The 23,531-nt window shown below is 51.5% G+C and overlaps 2 pseudogenes, besides 8 other annotated features; one reads left to right on the top strand and one right to left on the bottom strand.

The window, feature by feature from the left end:
- FAM86LP (family with sequence similarity 86 member L, pseudogene) lies at positions 6,486–15,319 on the top strand (annotated as a pseudogene).
- Positions 7,707–7,766: a silencer, noted in NCBI's record as "silent region_17960". NCBI's record gives its function as "represses an Ori minimal core promoter by ATAC-STARR-seq in GM12878 lymphoblastoid cells {active_cell/tissue: GM12878}" and the evidence as "EXISTENCE:reporter gene assay evidence [ECO:0000049][PMID:35858748]".
- On the bottom strand, positions 14,268–22,287 carry ALG1L5P (ALG1 like 5, pseudogene; annotated as a pseudogene).
- Positions 17,424–17,713: an enhancer, noted in NCBI's record as "active region_25637". NCBI's record gives its function as "activates an Ori minimal core promoter by ATAC-STARR-seq in GM12878 lymphoblastoid cells {active_cell/tissue: GM12878}" and the evidence as "EXISTENCE:reporter gene assay evidence [ECO:0000049][PMID:35858748]".
- Positions 17,424–17,781: a biological region, named in NCBI's record as "Sharpr-MPRA regulatory region 12753".
- Positions 17,487–17,781: a silencer, noted in NCBI's record as "tiled region #12753; K562 Repressive DNase matched - State 8:EnhW". NCBI's record gives its function as "represses a minimal TATA promoter and a strong SV40 promoter by Sharpr-MPRA in K562 cells {active_cell/tissue: K562}" and the evidence as "EXISTENCE:reporter gene assay evidence [ECO:0000049][PMID:27701403]".
- Positions 17,487–17,781: an enhancer, noted in NCBI's record as "tiled region #12753; HepG2 Activating non-DNase unmatched - State 4:PromP". NCBI's record gives its function as "activates a minimal TATA promoter and a strong SV40 promoter by Sharpr-MPRA in HepG2 cells {active_cell/tissue: HepG2}" and the evidence as "EXISTENCE:reporter gene assay evidence [ECO:0000049][PMID:27701403]".
- Positions 18,473–19,235: an enhancer, noted in NCBI's record as "H3K4me1 hESC enhancer chr7:6966495-6967257 (GRCh37/hg19 assembly coordinates)". NCBI's record gives its function as "activates a minimal SCP1, AML or CMV promoter by ChIP-STARR-seq in naive H9 embryonic stem cells {active_cell/tissue: H9 hESC(naive)}" and the evidence as "EXISTENCE:reporter gene assay evidence [ECO:0000049][PMID:30033119]".
- Positions 19,390–19,439: an enhancer, noted in NCBI's record as "active region_25636". NCBI's record gives its function as "activates an Ori minimal core promoter by ATAC-STARR-seq in GM12878 lymphoblastoid cells {active_cell/tissue: GM12878}" and the evidence as "EXISTENCE:reporter gene assay evidence [ECO:0000049][PMID:35858748]".
- Positions 19,580–19,639: an enhancer, noted in NCBI's record as "active region_25635". NCBI's record gives its function as "activates an Ori minimal core promoter by ATAC-STARR-seq in GM12878 lymphoblastoid cells {active_cell/tissue: GM12878}" and the evidence as "EXISTENCE:reporter gene assay evidence [ECO:0000049][PMID:35858748]".

Below are 23,531 nucleotides of genomic sequence, written 5' to 3'. Positions count from 1 at the left end.
CAGCCTAGGAGACAGAGTGAGACTGTCAAAAAAAAAAAAAAAAAGGAAATAAGATTGATGTTGAATGGAAAATCTAAGCAGGATGCAGTGGCAGGAGAGCGCCCACTTGCCCAGCTCCAATAACACTTTTGACAGCCATGACAATATTGCAGGGACGCCCATTCCTCATGGTATCTGAAGCCCCATGAAGGCTTGCGTCTGGAGGCTGGTTCAGTCTTGACTTTAAGATCAGGGGATACAAGGAATGATTTTCATCTATCTCAAGACAATAGTCCAGCCAAAAATCTAGGTCTGAGATGATGAGAAAAAGCAAGTCATGAACCATGTCAGCCATTTCATCATCATCATCATCATCATCATCAAAAACAAAAGACAGACCTGTAACGGTCTTGTGTGCCTGGCTCTTGTCTTAGTTCAAAATATAGAAGTAAATTCTATGGCCAGTGAACAATGACTAAAATAGCTCTCATCACTGTTGTCTGCCACCATGTAAGATGTGCCTTTTGCCTTCCACCATGATTTTGAGGCTTCTTCAGCCACATGGAACTGTGAGCCCATTAAACCTCTTTTTCTTTATAAATTACCCAGTCTTGAGTAATAAAATAGTGGTTTGTCCACAACATCAATGAACGATGCTGTCACTTGTTTGAAACGCTTACCATTTAAGAGGTTTGGATAAACAACAACCTAAAATAAATAAGCACTAAGCAAACTCAGGGCTACATAATCCCTGTGGTGAGGTAACTGACAATGGGTACCACTGGGACAGTTTACTCTTAAATCACCTCTATCTACATGTGCCCAAGCAGTGAGATACTTGGTTTTAATCCTAAAAAATCATGGTGCACATTTACTCCTGCCTTCCAACTGGGCTCTAACGTCACCTCCTCAGAGAAGCCCTCTTTTCTGTGCTTCCACTCTGCTTTTTTTCAGCATTTAGTAGAGCATCAGTCACCATCCATATCTGGGAACAATGATTGTAAGAAACAGAAATCCATTTGCATGAGCTGGAGGGAAAGGAGCACACCTTATCTCTAATAGGCAAACTCATGGGCACGAGAAATAAATGAGAGGCCATGAGAGAATGGAAACTGCAGTTACAGAAACCAAAATGCCTCTTTCTGGCTCTCAGAAGCCCATTTTTTTTGAGACACAGTCTTGCTCTGTCGCCCAGGCTGGAGTGCAGTCGTGCGATCTCAGCTCACTGCAAGCTCCACCTCCCGGGGTTCATGCCATTCTCCCACCTCAGCCTCCCAATTAGCTGGGACTACAGGCACTCGCCACCACACCTGGCTAATTTTTTATATTTTTAGTAGAGACGGGGTTTCACCATGCGAGCCAGGATGGTCTCGATCTCCTGACCTCGTGATCCGCCCGTCTTGGCCTCCCAAAGTGCTGGGATTATAGGCGTGAGCCACCGTGCCCGGCAGCCCATGGTCTTTCCTATCAGCCCTGTGGACTTCCTTATCTCTGCTTCTCTCACTCACAACCAATTTTCCCTTCTTGCTGGTGGCCCATCATGGCAGCCAGCAGAGCCCACCACCAGCTGATCAGTCAGTTACTGGATATCTTGGAGTGGGAGGGAGGGAGGGAGGAGAGAGGGAGAGGGAGAGAGAGAGAGAGAGAGAGAGAGAGAGAGAGAGAGAGAGAGAGAGAGAGAACGACAATTGGGCTTCTGGCCAACCAATTGAGTATAGGGAGGGGAAGTACCATGGTACAAATATGGCGCCAAGACCTGCTTTCTAGCATGGCCAATGAGCAGGGAAATTGAGGGAAGGTACCTGCAAGCACAGCAGACATCTCAGAACATGCTCTCTGTTCTTAGTTCTCTCTCCTGCCTTCTCCTAGATTGTAAATATCACAAGACAATCTAGAATAGTACCTGGCTCAAAATATTTGAGAAAGAGAAAAAGGAAGGGATTGGATCAAACTCTGGACTTCATGGTTTCCTAAATTCACTCTGCAAGTTTTTGGGTTTTTTGTTTTTTGAGACAGAGTCTCGCTCTGCTGCCCAGGCTGGAGTGCAATGGCATAATCTTGGCTCACTGCAACCTCCACCTCCCAGGTTCAAGCAAATCCCCTGCCTCAGCCTCCTGAGTAGCTGGGATTACAGGCACGCACTGCTACACCAGTTAATTTTTGTATTTTTAGTAGAGATGGGGTTTCACCATGTTGGCCAGGCTGGTCTCGAACTCTTGACCTCGTGATCCACCCACATCGGCCTCCCAAAGTGCTGGGATTACAGGTGTGAGCCACCACGCCTGGCTGACTCTGCAAGTATTTAAGTGAATGAATGTCAGTCCCTGAGAATCAGAAGAAAGGCATTAAATCTCTGTTAGGTTTAATCCTGGTCAGCAGCTGTGGGGTGTCCTGGGTTTGGGATCAGTGGGATGAGGAACAAGCAGGTTCTCCAAACCACCACACAGGGAGGGGAGGTGTTAACTAGGCCAAAGATGATGGGCGGGGTACGTGCTTGGGTTTCAAACAGCTTATGCCAGGCCTAAAAACCGACGCTGAAGCAGAAACTGTATTAAGCAAATTGATGACACAATGGAGGGGGTCCGAAAGTTTAATATTGCCAAGAAGAATACAAATATTGATCATGCAATATGACATTGTTATCACACCATCTCCTGCTACACGCCAGGTTTCCTTTACCATGAGATAGAGGAGATTTGTGGATCTGACCTAACCCTCCAAATTGTAAGGTCCCTGAGAGTGGGCTCATGACATTCATGTTTTATAAATGTGGCATAAAGGCTCACACTGGCTGCCATGTGGCCCAATGCCAGTTCGTTGCTGCATTCAGAGAACCATCATTCCAGCATGCAAGCATACTTAAAGGCAATTGAAATGTTTACCGCCGTCCCTCAAGACCAACACCAAAGAAAAATTATTTTCAAAATGCATAGCAACACTTCTTAAAATCTTATTTTCCCATCTCTTTCTCTCTAACACATTGCCAGGAGTTTCCCAGGAGCAAAACTGTCAAAAAGACCCAGGAGCAAAATGATTAATGACTTCACAGTATCTGATTCTGATTTAGTTGGTTTAGAGTGGTGTCCGTGCATACGTATATTTTAATATCTTGCTGGGCACAGTGGCACACACCTGTAGTCTCAGCTACTCGGGAGACTGAGGCAGAAGAATCACTTGAGCCCAGGAGTTTGAGTCCAGCCTGGGCAACATAGCAAGACCCTGTCTCTGAAAAAAAAAAAAAAAAGCAAAAAGAAATCTCTCTCAGCTGCAGTCAGGGTTGATAACTAGTTGATCAAATAATTGTGGTAGCCAACCTTTGCAATGGACCTTAATATTCCCACCTCCTGGTGTTATTCATTGTGGAATCTGTCTTAGCTAGTCCTCAATTGGGTCTGGTATGCAGGCCCCACCTTGAGAGGCTAGTCCCACCTCCTACCCCACACATGGTTTTACACTTACTTTCAAGACTGGCCTAAAAATGTAAAATGTACTTGTTTTGACCTTGTTTCCAATGAAACAACTATTCTAAACACTCATTTAGGATGGTTGGGGAAATTTGAACACTGGCTAAATATTGAAGATATTTGCTTCCAAATAACCCAGCTTGGTAATGAGATGATGGCGGCTGAGGCTGGTGATAGGCACAGAGGGCTTCATTATCAAATAGAAACAAGTCGAAAAAACAGAATCTTTTCCATAATAAAAATGTAAGGTAAACACAAAAATGTATTGAGTGCATAAAAAGAATCTATGGTCTCACAGATATTAGCTTATAATTTGAACATCAAAAATAAAAGTGATGGCCAAGTGCAGTGGCTGATGCCTGTAATCCCAGAACTTTGGGAGACTGAGGTGGATGGATCACTCGAGCCCAGGAATTTGGGACCAGCCTGATCAACATAGTGAGACCCCCATCTCTAAAATAAATAAATATAAATAAAAGTGACTAGAATTGATTATAGAACATCAACTCTATTTGAGTCTATAAAGATTACTGGCAGGGGGGGGCAATGGGGAGAAGGAGAAAGAGAATATATTTGTGACCTAGATTATTTTCCTTAGTTTTGAGAGAATCTTCGGGTCTCCTGGGTCTTCTAGTCCAGTATTTATATTTATTTTATTTATTTTTTATTTTTTTAGATGGAGTCTCACTCTGTCACCAGACTGGAGTGCAGTGGTGCGATCTCGGGCCACTGCAACTTCCGCCTCCCAGGTTCAATCGATTCTCCTGTCTCAGCTCCCCATGTAGCTGGGACTACAGGTACCTGCCACTGCACCTGGCTAATTTTTGTATCTTTTGTAGAGACGGTGTTTCACCATATTGGTCCAGGCTGGTCTCGAACTCCTGACCTCAAGTGATCCACCCACCTTGGCCTCCCAAAATACAAGGATTACAGGCATGAGCCACCACACCCTGCCTATTTTCCTTAGTATTCAAAGAACCTTTAGGTCCCCTGGGTGCTCTAGCCCAGTATATCTCAAACTTTGCTGCACTGAGGACCTTGTCGAAATGCAGGTTCTCAGCTGGGAGGCTCAGTGGGCCAGCAAGTCTGCATTGGTTTAGGAAGCTCACCCTGAGTAGCAAGTTTCAGTGAGGACCAGGCAGGCCCGTGCCTGCCAACCCCCTCTCAGCTGGGCTTAACTCTGGCTCTCTCCCGCCAGGGTTCCTCCCCTCAAAATAGGAGCTATTTTCAAAAAGTCTCTTGGAAAAAAGGCCCTGTTTTAAAATCGGGGTGTTTACCACGGGGTTTGAAGACCTTTGCCCAGACCCCCGCAACCAACTTAGAACTGACGTTTTTACTTTTGAAGGCCCCACTCCACACCATATTAAATTCATTAAAATCAACCGCCATGACAGGCGTATCTCAGGCATCACGCCCTCAGAACGGAGTTGCAGCTGACCACTTGACAATGTTGCAAAGCATTAAACATGCATTCATTTCAGCCTTGCAGTTTTCACATTTAGGAGCCAATTGTCTTAGGTCTAAAGCATTCATGTCCAAGCATTGTTATGGGCCCCAGACACTATGCTTCCCAGCCTTTATGGCATCTGCAATGTTGGTTCCCACCCCTGGGTTCTGGCCGGCTAGCCCACACCACCTCACTGCTCCCCCATTCAAGTGTGCCTTAGGTGTGTGGTTTCCAGACTCATCTACACTTTAGGATCACCTGGGATTTTTTCAGTGTTCCAAAACCCAGGTCACACCCCACCCCAGAATAATTAAACCTCAACCTCTGGAATGGGACATAGCATCTGTTTTTTGTTTTTTGTTTTCTTCGGTTTTTGAGACAGAGCCTCACTCTCTTACCCAGGCTGGAGTGCAGTGGCACAATCATAGCTCACTACAGCCTCCAACTCCTGGGCTCAAGCAACTTTCAGGTCAATGCAGTAGGTCAGGGCTTCGAACATGGAGATACCTGCAGTTATCTTGCACCCTGCTCTGAGTTTCACCCTGAGCCTCACTCTCGTAGGTGGTGAAGCATGAAATGCAGGGATAGCTGCTTTAAAACCCAGCACAAGGCTGGGCGCACTGGCTCACACCTGTAATTCCAGAACTTTGGGAAGCCGAGGTGGACAGATCACCTAAGGTCAGGAGTTCAAGACCGGCCTAGCCAACATGGCAAAAACCCATCTCTACTAAAAATACAAAAATTAGCTGTGCGTGGTGGTGCACGCCTATAGTCCCAGCTACTCGGGAGGCTGAGGCAGGAGAATCGCTTGAACCCAGGAGGCGGAGGCTGCAGTGAGCCAAGATCGGGCCACTGCCATCCACCCTGGGCAACAGAGCGAGACTGTGTCAGAAAAAATGAAAAACCAGCAGCAGCCTGAAGAGCCTGTGTATTGCGTGGGGTACTTTGCTGCCCTTGGGCAGAATCTGCATCCCTCCCAGCCAGCAGGCGCTGCGGACCGTCTCCTCCCTCTCCCTCCAGGCTCCTGTTTTCCCGCTGTCCCCGCTCCTGCTGCAGCAGTCCCTCTGCCCTCCGTTCCAAGTGCCAGGCCGCGGCCACCTCAGAGCTTGCACCAGCTGTTGCCACTGCCTGGAACTTGCTCGTCCTGCACTCGGCTTCTCTCGGCTTTAGCTGGGGTGTCACCCTGAGCGTCCCCTCCCCTCCATCCTGTCCCCAGGGACACACGCTCCAAGAGAGCAGTTGCCGAGTGGGCCTTCCCGCCTCTTCCATAGAGCCAGACAGTTGGCGACTGTCCTCACTGTAAACCCTGGTTCACACTGGCTCCCCTGGGAGGGAGGTGGTTTGGGCCCACGTGCCCTGCGTTCTTGCTCAGAATGGGCGTTAGAAATGCTGCCATAGCCTGTGCCACTGCAGTGGAAGCATTTTTAGGAAACGGCTTATATCATAAGACAAACTTCAGATGCATGGGGCCAGAACGCTGTGTCCATCTACATCTTTGCTGGGGGATCGGGTAGCCTGGAGTTTGCCCTCTGCTGTGTTGGCTTGAAGCTCATAGGAGGCTTAAGACGGGCTCTCGAGCAACCAACGTTCTGTCCTTTGCGGTAGACTGTGAAGCATCCTGTGTGTGTGAAGCACCGGCCGTCAGTCAAGTATGCCCGGTGCTTTCTCTCAGAACTCATCAAAAAGGTCAGTTATGGGGAGTGTCCGCCCAGTAGCCAGACAGCATAGCCACCTGCGTGCTGGAGCCCCCGTCCTTCCCAGGCCCTGGGCCTGCTTTGCAAACCCCAGCGTGGCAGGGGCCTAACCAGGCAACTGGCTGCAGCCGCGTGTGACCCATGGGAGACAATGCAGGATGGGAAGAAGGGGAGGCCAGCGTCTCTCCCTCACTCTGCCTCCTGGGGTTTCTGCCGCAGCTGCTGCTCTGGGGCCCCAGCTCCTAGCATATGGATTCTCATTCCTACCAGGCTGGCCCAGCCCACAGCACTGGAACCCTCACCCACACCCTCTGTCCTACCCGCCGAAGGGTTTGGAGTTTCCTACTCTTGTCTGTCTCTGGGTTGCCCCACGGGCCCCTGTTGGAAGGTTTAGCTCTTGCCATAACTTTGGAACTAGTTCCTCTGGTGAATTCTCCGCATTGATCCTGCTGGAATGTGCTCTTTCCTGACTGATACAGGATGGATTTTATTTTTTACTTATTTATTTTTTTGAGACAGAGTCTCACTGTGTTGCCCAGGCTGGATTACTGTGGCACAGTCTCGGCTCCCTGAAACCTCTGCCTCCTGGGTTCAAGCAACTCTCGTACCTAGCCTCCTAAGAAGCTGGGACTACAGGCACATGCCACCATGCCTGGATAATTTTTGTATTTTTAGTAGAGACAGAGTTTCACCATGTTGGCCAGGCTGGTCTCGAACTCCTGACCTCAGGTGATCCACCTGCCTCGGCCTCCCAATGTGCTGGGATTACAGGCATGAGCCACCGCACCTGGCCTAGGATGGATTTTAAAGATGGGCCCGAACATGCAGCGTTTGACATAAGGATGTCGAGAGGCCATTCCTCAGTAGGCAGTAGCAGACCTGCTGAGTGAAAGGGCCACACTTTTAGCAAGTAAACAATCCCCTGCTTCTCCAATACCTGCTTTCTCCCTAATCCTCCCCAAAAGGGTGCATCTGTAGTCACCAGCAGGTCTGCCCTGTGCCACCAGGAGAGGGCAGCAGTCACCCAGTGTATCTTGCTGCTGCCCTGTGAATCTTAGGATGGGGCCAGCCGTGGAGAAGCAGCCTGCTGACAGCCACAGCCTACAGCATGGGCCGCCCTCACAGTTCTGCCTGGGCTCACTTAAAAGCACCTTTTGTTTTCCTCCTCTCTGTCATGGTCATGTGGCAGCTCTCACGGATCCTTGTCTCCTGCCCTAGACTACACCTAACACTACCCTCTCAACACCTCTCGTTGAAGGCCCTCCCATCCAGGTTTCCCTACCAAGTGAATTTTTTTTTTAGAGACAAGGTCTCTTGCCCAGGCTGTCCTCGAACTCCTGGGCTCAAGCAGTCCTCCCATGTCAGCCTCTAGAGTAGCTGGGACTATTCGGCACACACCACCAAGCCCAATGAAGTGAATATTTTATATGCCAGCTGGCCAGTATTACACCATTCCATCCCAAATCTCCCCTCCAAACTTGGTGAAATCATCTGACCATTTTTACAGATTAGAACGAAAGCAAACAAGCTCTCACTCTGCCTGCCCCCAGCAGGAGGCTGTCCACACGGAGCCTTTGGACGAGCTGTACGAGGCGCTGGCGGAGACCCTGATGGCCAAGGAGTCCACCCAGGGCCACCGGAGCTATTTGCTGGTATAAGAAGGGCACCCTCCTCCCCCTCACAGCCCAGATACCCTTCCTGCACAGACAAAGTGAAAACGTGGGTGTGGGTTCAAATCCTGACTCACCCATTCTGCAGTCTTAGACATGAGGTCCGTCAACCTTCTTTAGCCTCAGTTTCCCTGTCTGTAAATCAAGCACTTCAACAACAACAGCATGTCTCATGGGGTTGTTGGGCATTTGTCCAATAGGTGACACACTCTACCTCCTTCACAAGGACCTGGTGTCCATTCCTCAAAGAATACTTGACAGGTCCGGGTGTGGTGGCTCACACCTGTAATCCCAGCACTTTGGGAGGCTGAGGCGGGTGGATCCGAGGTCAGGAGTTCAAGACCAGCCTGGCCAATATGGTGAAACCCTGTCTCTACTAAAAATACAAAAATTAGGCCGGGCGTGGTGGCTCATGCCTGTAATCCCAGCACTTTGGGAGGCTGAGGCAGGTGGATCACCTGAGGTCAGGAGTTTGAGACCAGCCTGGCCAACATGGTGAAACTCTCTTTACTAAAAATACAAAAATTAGCGGGTGTGGTAGTGGGTGCCTCTAATCCCAGCTATTCGGGAGGCTGAGGCAGGAGAATCTCTTGAACCCAGGAGGAGGAGGTTGTAGTGAGCCAAGATCACGCCATTGCACTCCTGCCTGGGCAACGAGAGTGAAACTCTGTCTCAAAAAAAAGTAGAAAAATGAGCCAGACATGGTGGCACATGCCTGTAGTTGCACCTACTTGGGCGGCTGAGGCAGGAGAATTGCTTGAACCCAGGAGGCAGAGGTTGCAGTGAGCCAAGATTGTGCCACTGACTCCAGCCTGGGGAACAGAGCTCAAAAAAAATAAGATAAAACATAGATACAGAAAACCACAAAGGAAAAACATAGCATATTGAATCATCACAAGGCAGCCACCCCTTCATAGCCACACCCGGCCCCTGGCCACCACTGACCTGTGCTCTATCACCAGAATTCCGTTGTCTCAGGAATGTTCAATGAATGGAATCCTGTGTGGCCTGAGATGAGTGTCTTTCATGCCACATGACACCCTTGAGGCCCGTGCAAGCTGTTGGCATGTCAACAGTTAGTTGCTTCTCATTGCTGAGTGGCGATTGGTCCTGTCATGGTTTATTCAGCCATGTGGTGGATGGCTACTTGTCTTCTAAGCCACTTGCCTTCTGATCGCTGGACTGACTCTCTCGCCCTCTCTTGGTGCAGCCCTCGGGAGGCTCAGTCACACTCTCTGAGAGCACAGCCATCATCTCCCACGGCATCACAGGCCTGGTCACATGAGATGCTGCCCTCTACCTTGCAGAATGGGCCATTGAGAACCCGGCAGCCTTCTCTCATAGGTGACCTCGGGGTGCATGGCAGGGCACCGAGGCAGGCTTACCCTGGTGCAGTCGCAGACATGGTCCCCTTTCCTCCCGCCAGGACTGTCCTAGAGCTTGGCAGTGGCGCCGGCCTCACAGGCCTGGCCATCTGCAAGATGTGCCTCCCCCGGGCATATATCTTCAGCGACTGTCACAGCCGGGTCCTCAAGAAGCTCCGAGGGAATATCCTTCTCAATGGCCTCTCATTAGAGGCAGACATCTCTGCCAACTTAGACAACCCCAGGGTGACAGTGGCCCAGCTGGACTGGGATGTCGCGACAGTCCGTCAGCTCTCTGCCATCCAGCCAGATGTTGTCACTGCAGCAGGTAATGCCCAGCCCCGGGCACCCTGTGCAGGCGGTGTCCTTGCAGCTCTACCCAGCTCTGGGCTCTGGGAAAAGGGAACGATGGACGCTGTTGGGCATGGACATGATGGGGCTTCCAGAAGAGTTACTCTGGGCCTCCAGGGTGACATCAAAGGACAGGGGTGCCTCTTAAGGTGACCTTACAGCCACAGCCCTCTTTTTGGAGACAGGCATACTCCCATTACAGTCATCACCACATGGCTCTGTCCCAGAGCCATGCCTGTGTCTTTCAGAGACCACAGGAGGAAAACAACCACTTCTGGGATGAGGACAGGGCCCTTGAGAGAAGGTGGTGTTTGGCTGGGCCACCGAAAACCCCTCGCCCCTGCCAGCACACTCAGTCTCCTCTCGGGTCGAACAGAGCTCTGCCTGTGGTCCTGGGTCCCAGCCCTGAAAACCACAGGTCCAGCAGTGGCCAGGGACACAGGCCCACCCCTGCAAGCCAGCAGACAAATCGGCAGACGCCTGAAACACGAAGTTCATGGCAGGGTCAGGCTTTGTGTCATTCACAGCCCTCTAGATAGGCCGAGAACCAGAGCTCGTTTTTTAAGGAACACCAGTGAGTCTGGAGATTTTTTCTTTTGCTTCGGTCTTTTGCAGCTTTCTCTACTAAGGGTTCTCCTTTTTCACCCAAGTAATTGCCTTTCCATCTAATGGCCCAAATGGTCAAATGGCATCTACTAGTCTCATATGACCGCTGCCTCTCTGGCCTCGCCCTTCTGCTGAGGTCAGCATGACCTGGAACTGTCCGCTGGTCCCCTTCAGTAATCTGAAGCTTTCACCGTAGACGTGCCGTATTGCCCAGAAGCCATTGTGTCGCTGGTCGGGGTCCTGCGGAGGCTGGCTGCCTACCGGGAACACCAACGGGCTCCTCAAGTCTATGTGGCCCTTACCGTCCGCAACCAAGAGACGTGCCAGCTGTTCACCACCGAGCTAGCTGAGCCCCCACGCCCACCCGGGCCTGCATGGTCCCGGAGCTGTCCCTGCGGGACTCCAGTGGAAGTGAAAGAACTGAGGGCAGGGTAAAAGCTAGGAAGCCCCACACTCCCACACCATGCGGGGAACTAGGGCAGAGGCCGGTGAGCAGGGTGGGCTCATGGCGTGGGGGACTTGCGGCAGGAGGAGGGCAGCTCAGCACAGGGAGGGAGGATCTGAGCCCAGCAGCCCTACTGTGTGCTTCAGAGCAAGATTCCCTAAGCCCTTGGGCCTCGGTTTCCTCATCTATAAAATGGAGGTGGCGGGAGGGGCAGTCATGGTCAGGGCTGGACACCGCTGTGGCCTGCAGGACGCTGGAGCACAGGCTGTACAGGCGGATCCACCATGCCACTGTCCTGAGCACCCAGTTGATGGAAGACGAGCAGGGTGACTATAGAGTAGGGGAACTGGCCCCGTAGTGGGCCAGCCACTGTCCTCAGACCTGACATTTGTCAGCCCCCAGCACCTGTGAGAGTGTGCTATCATTGTCCCATCTCACCGACAAAGACACTGGGACACACAGAGGACAAGCAACCCCCAAGCTCCCACAGACTGTAGCCCGGCCACCTGGCTCTCGTGCCTCCACACTACACCCAAGCCCCCCATTGCCACCAGCCTCTGCCCCAGCTCCCCCTGAGCACAGCCCCTCTTGGCAGCCATGTTCACAGATGCACGTGCAGCAGCCTCTGCCTGCACAGAGAGACACGGGTCCAATGCCTGTCCACGTGGGGCAGCCCGTTAACTACAGAGCCAACAAACAAGCCAGCACACGAAGACACACTGGGTTCCACGACAGAGTCCCGCACAACCTCGCACAGGAGGCTGGCCGGGTGCGAGGCTCGGGCCTGTCATCCCAGCACTTTAGGAGGCTAAGGCAGGGGGACTTCTTGACACCAGGAGTTCAAGACCTACCTGGAAAACATAGTGGGACCCCATCTCCACAAAACGTACAGAAACTAGTCGGGCATGGTTGCGCAACTACTTGGGAGGCTGAGGTGGGAGGATGGCTTGAGCCCAGGAGGTGGAGGCTGCAGTGAGCCCTGATCTCACGACTGCACTCTAGGCTGGGCAACAGAGCAAGACCCTGTCTCAAAAATGCAAAAAAAAAAAAAAAAAAAAAAAAAAGGAAGTCTTTCTTCAGATACTTATGTGAAAAAATACCTGCAATATCTTTGAAGTGAAAAAAAGAGTGCCAAGCAGCACACATAGTATAAGCCCCAATCCACCTTTTTTTTTTTTTTTTTTTTTTGAGACAGAGTCTGGCTTTGTATTGCCCAGGCTGGAGTGCAGTGGTGCCATCTCGGCCCACTGCAACCTCCCACCTCCCAGGTTCAAGCTATCCTCCCATCTCAGCCTCCTGAGCAGCTGGGACTACAGGTGCGTGCTACCACGCCTGGCTGATTTTTGTATTTTTTGTAGAGTCGAGGTTTCGCCATGTTGGCCAGGCTGGTCTTGAACTCCTGACCTCAAGCGATCTGCTGCCTCAGCCTCCCAAAGTGTTAGGATTACAGGCATGAGCTACTGCACCCAGCCCCATTTTTGTTTTAAAAATAATAATAATCACCCACACATAGTTATGAGTACCTATATTCCCAACTACTCAGGAGGCTGAGGCGGGAGGATGGCTTAAGCCCAGGAGTTTGTGGCCCCCTTGAGCAACATAGCAAGACTTCATCTCAAAATAAAATTATCACAATAATCATTTTCACATAAGTATACCTATAGGGGAAAACCTAGAATATATATATAGCAGGCTCGTCCAACCTGCGGCCCAACACAAATCTGTAAACTTTCTTAAAACAGTACGAGGTTTTTTTGTGATTTTTTTTTCTTTTAGCTCATCAGCTATTGCTAGCATTAGTGTATTTTATGTGTGGCCCAAGGCGATTCTTCTTCTTCCAATGTGGTGCAGGGAGACCAAAAGATTGGACATACCTGATATACACGTTAACAGGTGCCATCCTTGGATGGCAGGATTATAGAGACTTCTACACGTTCATGTCTGTACTACTTCATTTTTATAAATATGCATTTTCCACTCGTAACAAAAAACTGTGATTGAAAATCATCCCAGGACACAGTGTCTCACGCCTGTAATCCCAACACTGTTAGAGGCTGAGGCTTTGGGAGGCTGAGGTGAGCGGATCACTTGAGGTCAAGAGTTCAAGACCAGCCTGGCCAACACGGTGAAACCCCATCTCTACTAAAAACACAAAAATTAGCCAGGCTTGGCGGTGCACGCCTATAATCCCAGCTACTCGGGAGACTGAGGCAGGAGAATCACTTGAACCTGGGATGCATTGCAGTGAGCTGAGATTGCACCACTGCACTCCAGCCTTGGGAACAGAGTAAAACTCTGTCTAAAAAATAATAATAAAAGAGGCTGAGGCAGGAGCATCACTTGAGGCCATGCATTCCGGACCCCATCTCTACAAAATAAAAAAATTACTAGCATGGTGGCACGCACCTGTCATCCCAGCTACTCAGGAAGTGGGAGGATTGCTAGAGCCCAGGAGTCGAGGCTGTAGTGAGCAATGACTGTGCCACTGCACTCCAGCCTGGGTGACAGAACAAGATCGTATCTCAAAAAAAAAAAAAAAAAAAAGAATCATTCTGGCTAACGGCTCTTCAGATATCTGTGCTTATGAGAACACCAGCCCCTTCTAAGCTGTGTGTGTGTGTGTGTGTGTGTGTGTGTGTGTGTGTGTGTGTGTGTGATTTTTTTTTTTTTTTTTTGAGATGGAGTCTCACTCTGTCACTCAGGCTCGAGTGCAGTGGCACAATCTCGGCTCACTGCAAACTCCGCCTCCTGGGTTCAAGCAATTCTCCTGCCTCAGCCTCCCAAGTAGCTGGGATTACAGGCACCTGCCATCGTGCCTGCCTAATTTTTGTATTTTTGTATAGATGGGGTTTCACCATGTTGGCCAGGCTGGTCTCGAACTCCTGATCTCAAGTGATCCACCCGCCTTGGCCTCCCAAAGTGTTGGGATTACAGGCGTGAGCCACTGTGCCTGGCTGCTTTCTAAGCTTTGTGGAGAGTGGGTTGACTGAGCAGCCAGGTAGATGTGGGTTCAGATCTCTGCGTCTGTCCCGCTGTGCCAAGTGCTGGGGCAGACGCGGGCAGAGACTGGACAGCGGCACGGTGCCTGCTGCTAGCCATTTCTATGCAAAACCAGATTTCTGGTCCCATCCTGGAGGCCAATTCTAGGCACCTGGGTGGGCCTGGGAACCTGTGAACCAAGTAAACTGACTTGGACACCCCCCGACCCCGCCAGGCCTGTCCTAGCAGCCCCACACAATACGCTCATGTCCTGTCCCCAAACTCTGCCATCCTGAAACACATGTCCTCTGTTTCCAGGCAGGCCAGGATCAGATGGGAAGTGGAACCCTCGTCATGACCAGAAACTATTTCCCTACGAAGAGCACTTGGAGATGGCAATGCTGAACCTCACACTGTAGGATTCACACACGACTCCAACGGGATTGTGAGAATCAAGTCACTCTTGTGGGAAGAGTTTTTATATGGGAAAGCAGATAAAACTTTCATTGGACTGGAATGTTTGGAGAATGTTAATTTCCAAATCAGGAACCACAAACTGCCCTCTAATAAGACATCAGCTATCTAAGCGTGTGGGTGCTCCCTTTCTGCCAGCAGTTCTGGTTCTGAAGAAAATCGCCATCAATCAGACATGAAAACTCTGGCTCCAAAAACAGCATTTTCTTTGTGCAAATAAAAAGTGTGTATCAAGTATGATGTTCCCCCAACGTGGACACACTCTGTTCCCCACAAAGCCAAGCCCGCTGCAGCTGCCACATCCCTGAACACACTCGGTTCCTCACAAAGCCAAGCCCGCTGCAGCTGCCACATCCGTGGACACACTCGGTTCTTCACAAAGCCAAGCCCGCTGCAGCTGCCACATCCCTGGGCTTACGGTGCAGCAGGTGCTTTTTTCAAGACAGGAATCAAAATGTTAGGAACACGGCAGAAAGATGACACCTGGAGACCAAACGCAGGATAAGGAGTACTGCAGAAGTCACAGAACAGTAATACGCTAGCAGGGGCATGGGGCATGAAGAACAGAAGAAGAGAGGAAGTGTTTCTGAGCCTCCAGAAAAGAAATCAGAACCAAGCACAGCTTCCCGGGTCACAGAACCAATTCATTCACCAGGCGGCACCACTGCCGTCATTTCACCTTCTGGCCACTGGGAGGCGCTGCTCGAAAGGGTTTGCCCTGAGACTCCGAGAAGAAGCTGCGGGAAGGACAGCAGGGGTCCCGGGGTTTTAGCCTCTGGCCCAGGAGTTATGTGTCCATAACCAAAGGGAGCACAGTCTGCACCCAGCTCTCATCCCATCCGAGCTGCTGCGATTACCGCAGGTTCTTCCGGAACTGGTTTAGCTTGCCTGCAGGATCAGGAAAGTTTGAGAAAAGCATCTGCAAAAAAATAAAGAGCAGAGCTTAACTCATTTCCTGTCCCCACCCCATCCCAGGTCACCACCTGGCTGACCCCATGTCCCCAACCCAACAACAACCCCTCCCAAGTTCTTAACTCCCTCACTTGGACTCGAGACTCTTCACACCCCAGCAGCGCTCTGCCTCCAACTTGACATCACGCTTTCTGGAAACTTCCCCGTGTGTCCCACTTTCCCACACTTGGTGCCCTGGAGTACCTCCCGGCCTCTACATGCTGTATGTTCCCCTGCAAGCACCCTCCTTTTGGCCTCTGGCCATGTCCCACCCATCTGTGGGTAACAAGGGGGTGTCTGTGTTCTTTGCAGCCTTGCTAAACTGTCTGAATCAAGGATCACAAACTACAGCCTGCAGGCCAAATCCAGCCCACAGCCTGTGTTTGTAAATAAAGTTTTATTTGAACAGAGCCACACCCCTTAATCGACAGATGATCTGTGGCTACTTTCACACCACATGTCAGTACCATGGTTCTGACAGAGACTGGGGGACCCAGTCTAAATGACTTCCGACCTGGACCTTTACTGAAAATCCTGCCAATCATTCTGTTGGCAAGAATGGTGTATTACTTTTAGCAATAAGAAACAAGTAACCTTTGCAGAATTCCACCCATCTTTCAAGGCTGGTCCCAGAAGCTCCCTTTGCCCGCCCACCTACGTGATCCTGATCACTTCCTAAACTGCAGCCTGGCCCACCCGGCTCCAGCATCATTTGTGGAGTGTCAGCTCCATAAATCCAGAGGGCAGGTGGGGGTGTGTCCTAACTTTCCTGAGCCTACTGTACCAAAACGGGACAGCAGAGTGGGCCGGCCTGTGACCTCTGCTCTCTCCCTAGCTTTTCCGCCAGACCCTACATGGTCCCACCCTGGCTGTGGGAAGAAGGGATCAGGGAGCGTGGCTCGGAGCCAGTCTCCAGAACCCTCCCCACCCTGGCGTGGTGGCAGATGTGGCTACCTGCAGCTGAGCTGCCAGTTCCTCTGAGTCCTCAAAGACCAGGCCATTTTCTTCATGTTTCACCAGCTCATTTAAACTGCAGAGAGAACCAAGGGAGCCTGAGAGCTGCCTGGAGAAGACACCAGACCCCTGGGGTGCCCACCTGGGCTCCACCCCCCCAACCCCATGCTCAAGCCAGGCTGGGGGTTGGAACAGGGGGTGTGGTTTCCGGGAGCTCGTTCTTAGATTTGGCATCTGAAGGGTATAAAGGCCTGGGGGGGTGCACATCTAAGTGGCCAAACCGATTTGAGGAGGGAGCCTTAAGGGGGGTTTGTACCTTCTGTGCTGGATGCTCTTCAAGGACTGAAGAATTATTTTTGCATGTTTTTCTTAATTCCATGGCCATGGAACAAGTAAAGGGAACACCCTGGGGACTGGCTCAGCACATAAAAGATGACTTTTCTAGGGCACCAGATTTGATCCCGACATTCCCTGAGCTCAGCTCACAGGAGGGGCTCACATCGCTGAATCCCATCCATGAGCCGGCTCCTGAGCAGGGGCCAAGGGCTCAGCTTGTGCTGGGGCTACTGCTTCTAGAATCTCCTCTAACAGTGCCCTTCCAAACACCCGTCTATGCTGGGTGGAGTGAGGCCACAGCATGACACTCATTCAACTGATTCAAACCCACCACGTGAGCTTGGCCAAAAGGGACATGGTGGGAGAGAAAGAAACAAAGAAGACCATGTAAGCCTGCAGGCAATTCCCGCCAATTCTACTCCAGGAGCAAAAGCCCCGAGTGGAGTTCTAGTATTTAAGATGCTTTTTTTTCATATTAGGTTGGTGCAAAAGTAATTGCCATCTTTAATGGCAAAAACCGTGATTACTTTTGTACCAGCCTAAATATAACATGAGCTCTAAATGGAAGCAACTACTTCAGTGAGGCTCAGCCCAGCCACAGTAACCGCAGGGCTCCTCCTCGTGGCCTCCAGTGTGTGCTGGACTGACCGAGGGGCAGGGCCTCACTGTGGGCAGCTCCCTCTGCACTGCTTCCCCCTCAGCGGTGGATCTGTGAAGCTATCCCTAGAAAGATTCGGGTTCTGCTCCTACCACTTGAAGTTCACGGCACACGCAGGCAAATAGCACCCGAACATGTCCACCACCTTCATGGGCAGGTCCAGGCCACTGGAGAACGTGTGCAGACAGACACCCAGGTCCACCGACCCTGCTAGGCAAGAGGGGTGCGGTCAGAGCACTGGTCTCTGCCCTGGGAACACAAATCCTCCCAGCACAGTGAGGCAACATCCCCTGAGGGGAGTGAAAATCGGATAAGGCACCCGACAGCACCAAGCACAAGTGGCTTAAGCCGGCCAAGCAGCCACACGGCCTGGCTGGGACATCTGAAAATGTAAGTTGACACTTTTTCTACTTAACCACAATTTGTTTTTTTTTTGTTGTCATTTTGTTTTGTTTTGTTTTGAGACAGTCTCACTCTGTCACCCAGGCTGGAGTGCAGTGGCACAATCTCAGCTCACTGCAACCTCCACCTCCCAGGTTCACCTCCCGCATGTAATCCCAGCATTTTGGGAGCCCAAGGCGGGCAGATCACCTGAGGTCAGGAGTTCAAGACCAGGCTGGCCAACATGGTGAAACCCCATCTCTACTAAAAAAAATACAAAATTAGCGAAGCATCGTGGCAGCTGTCTGTAATCCCAGCTACTCAGGAGGCTGAGGCAGGATAATCGCTTGAACCCTGGAAGGCAGAGGTTGCAGTGAGCCAAGATCGTGCCATTGCACTCCAGCCTGGGCTACAAGAGCGAAACTCTGTCTCAAAATAATAATAATAATAATAACAGTAATAATAATAAACCACAGCACACCCACCACAAACCAGCTGTCAGTGTGAAAACAAAGCGAAACAGCTTAATATTTCTGAAGACTAGCTGGGGCCAGGCGTGATGGGTCACGCCTGGAATCCCAGCATTTAGGGGGGCCAAGGCGGGAGGATCACTTGAGGTCAGGAGTTCAAGACCAGCCTGGCCAACATGGTGAAACCCTGTTTCTACTAAAAATACAAAAATAAGCCAGGTGTTGTGGCGGGCTCCTGTAATCCCGTAATCTACTCAGGAGGCTGAGGTGGGAGAATCGCTTGAACCCAGGATGCAGAGGTTGCATGAACTGAGATCGTGCACTCCAGCCTAGGCAACGGAGCGAGACTGTCTAAAACAAAGACTAGCTGGAGAGTCCTGCCAGGAAAAGGCCCTCAGCCTCCAACTGCTCTGCTCACTTGAAGCTGGAAGATGCAGCTCTAGAGACGCATCAGGACCAAGCCACGACTCCCCATTTGGAAAAATCAATCGGGGAAAGAGACGGAGGCAAAGGAGAACCATCTCACTGGGAGAAGCGACGCTGTTTGACACATCGTCCCTGTACCTCCCAAAGCCACTGCCCTCCCACACCTGGGCAACAGTGCCCCAACCCCAGGCCCAGCCCTCCTGCAGGAAGGAAGAGGACTGAATGGAGGGCGTGGCAGGCTGAAAGGACATGGCCTCCTCAAACCCCTTGGTAAAGGGCCTCTGGGGCCACCTGGCAGGGAGGGGCTGGCACACCAGGAAGTAGCCTCCTCCCGGGAGTTCAGCCAGAGCCCAGGTCCTGTCCCCAAGTGGCCTCCAGAGCCACCTTTTCAGAAAAAGTACATCCCGCCCACCTCTGTTCCCGCTGCTTAAGGCCCCGCCTCCTCCCTGAGCCTCCTGCTGGCCTCTCACCTAGAAGCAGGGGCTAGTCCTCGGCCTCCAGCCAAGGGGTGCTGACCTGGATGTGCTGGAAATGCTTCTGGTGGATGAGGCAGCTGTAATACTCCGTCAGAGGCCCTTTGCCTTCACAGAGAAGAGCAGATACTGCTATGGACCCGTCTCTGACCCTACCAAGTGGCCCCAGGCCCAAGACACTCCCCGCTAGGAGGGATCCCTTTCCCAGAAGCTCCACCCCTCGGCAGCTCCAGTCAGGCCCCATCCGGGCCCTTCGGGAAGCATCCCAGGAGCCCCGAGACCCGCAGGGGTGTGTGCACCCTGACCCCTGACGCACAGCCCTGCACTTGCAGCCAGCTGGCCTCGGGCTGCAAACATGGCGGGGTAAGCACCGGCCTGGCACCCGACCCCCCACTGGGTGGACCCAGCCTTTTGTCTGTGTTGTGCACAGGGGACACGAGGACTCCCCCTGCCCTGCCACAGCCTCCAGAGCACATGGCGCGGGCTCCAAACCACTCCTGGGAGCCTAGAGGCCAGAGGAGGGAGGAGAGCAGGACCAGCAGCTGGCCCAGACCCCGCCTCTTCCCACACCACTTCCGCTTTTCTCCCTCCTCACTGAGTCACCTTGAAAGGGCTCAGCAGCAGTAACTGTGGCACAGGGGCTCTTCCGTTTGAAAAATTAAAAGAGGCTTGGTTAAGGCACCAATGACATGGCCAGGCACAGTGGTTCGTGCCTATAATTCGAGCATATTGGGAGGCCAAGGTGGGTGGATCACCTGAGGTCAGGAGTTCAAGACCAGCCTGGCCAACATGGTGAAACCTGTTTCTACTAAAAATACAAAAGTTAGCTGGGTGTGGTGGGCCCCTGTAGTCCCAGCTACTCGGGAGGCTAAGGCATGAGAATTGCTTGAATGTGAGAGGCGGAGGTTGCAGTGAGCCAAGATCACACCACTGCACCCCAGCCTGGGCGACAGAGACTCTGTCTCAAAAAAAAAAAAAAAAAGAAAAAAAGACACTAATGATGTAACAACAACAACAAAAAGATGCTTGGAAACTACTGAAAAAGTAGAAAGCTTGGTATCTACAGATTCTAATCTGGGCTCCCTGCCCTGCTGTGAAATCCTCTGAGCCACAGTTTCCCCCACGTCAAGCAGTATAAGACCCTATGCAGAGAGCTGCAGTGAAGATTAAGGAGACAAGATCGTGGGAAGCACAGGGTAAAGGCTGCGTGCCCCTCCCCCTCCACCATCCCCCAATCAAACAGACACCCAGGGTCCCAGGCGGTACCTGTTATACAGACGAGAGAAGGAAGGTTGTGTCCATCAAGAGTCAGTTGCTCAAACTCTGTGTTTAAAAAAAGAAACAATTCTACATGGAATTTCTGATAGAATTTCTTTTTTTGTTTGTTTTTCTGACAGACTCTTGCTCTGTCACCCAGGCTGGAATGCAGTGGCATGATCTCAGCTCACTGCAACCTCTGCCTCCTGGGTTCAAGTAATTCTCATGCATCAGCCTCCCAAGTAGCTGGGATTACAGGCGCCCACCACCATACCCAGCTAATTTTTGTATTTTTAGTAGAGACAGGTTTTGCCATGTTGGCCTCAAACTCCTGAACTCAGGTGATCTGCCTGCCTCAGCCTCCCAGAGTTCTAGGATTACAGGTGTGAGCCACCATGCCCATTCAGAAAAAAAGTTTTAAATAAACAATAGCCAGAGTCACCTGGTCAGTTGGAGAAAGAGCACTGCTCTTGTGGGGAGGCCACCAGCCTCTGTGAGATACTCTCCTGGAGGAGGCATTTCAGCCTGAGGGCCTGGTCACTCAATGACCCAACTGGGGATTCAGGGCAGCCCACCTCCACCACCTCCGCTGTCCCCAGGCTGCCCCACCCAGTGGCCCGGGACAGGAACATGCTGCAGGCCAGGCAAGCAGCTCACAGCTCAGTGGCCCCCGACAAGCCCAGAGCTCCTCACCACAGCTACACCCCTACTTTCTAAAGCTGCCAGCAGGATGGAGAAGTCTTCGTCCTCTATGAGAAGAGAATTGAATGTCAGGGGCCTGTTTCTAGACACCCCTCTTCCAGCTCACACGCCCTCCCCTTCTCATTGAGACTGTGGCAGGGTGGGGGCATGCAGGACTGGCAGGGGTGAGGAGAATACAGATTGGCCAGGTGCCCGTCACACCAAGCCCAAGTGTTCCAGGGGTCGTGCAGACCTGTCCAGCCTGTGCTGCTGACCAGCAGGGCTGGCCACTCGCAGAGACACATCACCAGCCCGCTCCCAGCATCCCGCTCCATGAAGGCCGACGGCTCCGTGGCTGGTTCCTCAGGTTCTAAACTGAAAGAGCAGGAAAAAAGCCTGTGAGAGGCCACAGAGCAGGCCCAGGACCCAGGACAGGCTTCTCCTGCCATGGCAAGGCCTGCAGGCTCCCAAAGGTTGGGGTGCCCGGCCACATCAGCAGCACCAGGCCACCCCTGCCATCGAGGCCTGGGCTTCCTTTCTCTAATATTGTTGCTGGGTGCTAAGGTTACAACAGCAAACAAGACTGACTCATTCCTTTTCTCCGTGGGACTTACTGTCTTATCATCCCCTGGACTCAATATGAGGGTGCAGGGACGCCCTCCCACACCACCGCAGCTTACCCAGGGGCACACCTTAGGGTGTGTGGATCTGCACAAAGGTCCCTCCTTAGCCCCGTGAGACACCCCAGGGGACCCACAGGTCCACAGATCCTGCCACAGGCCTGGGAACCCACTGGCAGGAGAGTAAGACAGCACAGGGGTCCACAAACGTTTCTTAAAGGGCCAGAGAGTAAATACTTCAGGCTTTGCAGGCCACGGGTTCTCTGTTGCAAAACACGATTCTGCTATTGTAGCTCAAAGGCGGCTGTAGACAACTCAGAAGGCAATGAGTGTGTTGTGTCCCAATGAAACTTGACTTACCAAAGCAGGAGACTGGCCGGTTGCCTTAGTATGCCAACCCCTGGATGAGTGTGTTCCCAGGTCTGCAGTGAGAAGGGGAGAGGCCAGGGCAGTGGTGAGCAGGAGAGAAAGCAGCTGAGGATGGGAGGCCTACCGGGCCCTGAACGGAGAGTGCATGCCGCCCAGCTTCATGAAGAGCCTGTGCTGCAGGTCCAGAGGTGTCCCTTTAAAGAAAGATGCCGGCTTGTCATAGACGGTCACAGCCCTGCAATGAAATCATGGCAGGGCTATTGGGAGGGCTGAAGAAAGGCCTCAGGAATAGAGGACTCAGAGACTCCAGGAAAAGAAGGACGCTTGGGGAATCCAAGTCTCAGACGATGACAAGAAGAAGCCTTGCAATCACTTGGGAATGCATAGAGACATCCTAGGACCAAAACTGCCTGGCCCCCGTGGCTGGCTGGGAAAGAAACTCTGCCCCCTCCTCTCCCGGCTTCCTCAAATTTTCCCATAATGTTGCCAAGCATTAGTCCAGCGTGGAGGCTACTTTCTGCTCAAACCACTCATTTGGGTCCCGCACCCAATGTCACCCATCCTCAGTAAAACAACCTTTATTTCCTTCTTCCTGGTTTCCAGAAAGTTCCCCTAAAGCCCTGAGGAATCACTGAATGAAAGGGGCTTTTTACAAACAGGAAACTTAAGTGGCGTGCCTATACGCAGCATGGATTGCACCAGGCCAGGTCTAAGATAAAACCAGACTGTGGACAACAGGACAGATAAGACCCACGTGGCTCTGCACTGCCGGGGTCTGTTAGTGTGTGGAGGAATGTCTTAGTCTGTTGCTCCTGTGGATGTTGCTAAAGCACGAACCAGGAGTTTTCATCCTTTTTTTTTTTTCTTTTGAGACGGAGTCTCGCTCTGTCACCCAGGCTGGAGTGCAGTGGCGCGATCTCGGCTCACTGCAAGCCCCGCCTCCCGGGTTCATGCCATTCTCCTTCCTCAGCCTCTGGAGTAGCTGGGACTACAGGTGCTCACCACCACGCCGGCTAATTTTTTGTATTTTTAGTAGAGACGAGGTTTCACAGTGTTAACAAGGATGGTCTCGATCTCCTGACCTCGTGATCCGCCCGTCTTGGCCTCCCAAAGTGCTGGGATTATAGGCGTGAGCCACCGTGCCCGGCCGTCTTCATCCTTAGAAAGCAGTTAGACAGACACCTGAGAACCAATCCCAAACTGCAGCCTTCCACAGAACCTTCTGGAACCTTCTGGAATGCAACTCATTACTGCCAGAGGGTCTTGGATGAGAGTCTACTCTCCACCATTTGTCTTCAAAGAGAATACCCACATATTCTCTTTCCATGGAAAGGTAAGTTATTAGAGTTTATGCAGTCTGGTATATTAATTGACAGCTTTAAAGAATGTCACGTTTACGATTCAGTCTCACAGACTGGGTTAAAAAGGCAATGTTGACTATTAAGTTATAAATTACTATAATGATCATTGTTATTATTCAAG

This window comes from Homo sapiens, chromosome 7 (genome assembly GCF_000001405.40).
Source record: "Homo sapiens chromosome 7, GRCh38.p14 Primary Assembly".
In the NCBI taxonomy this organism is placed as follows: Eukaryota; Metazoa; Chordata; class Mammalia; order Primates; family Hominidae; genus Homo; species Homo sapiens.
This window is presented reverse-complemented; position numbering and strand designations above follow the sequence as displayed.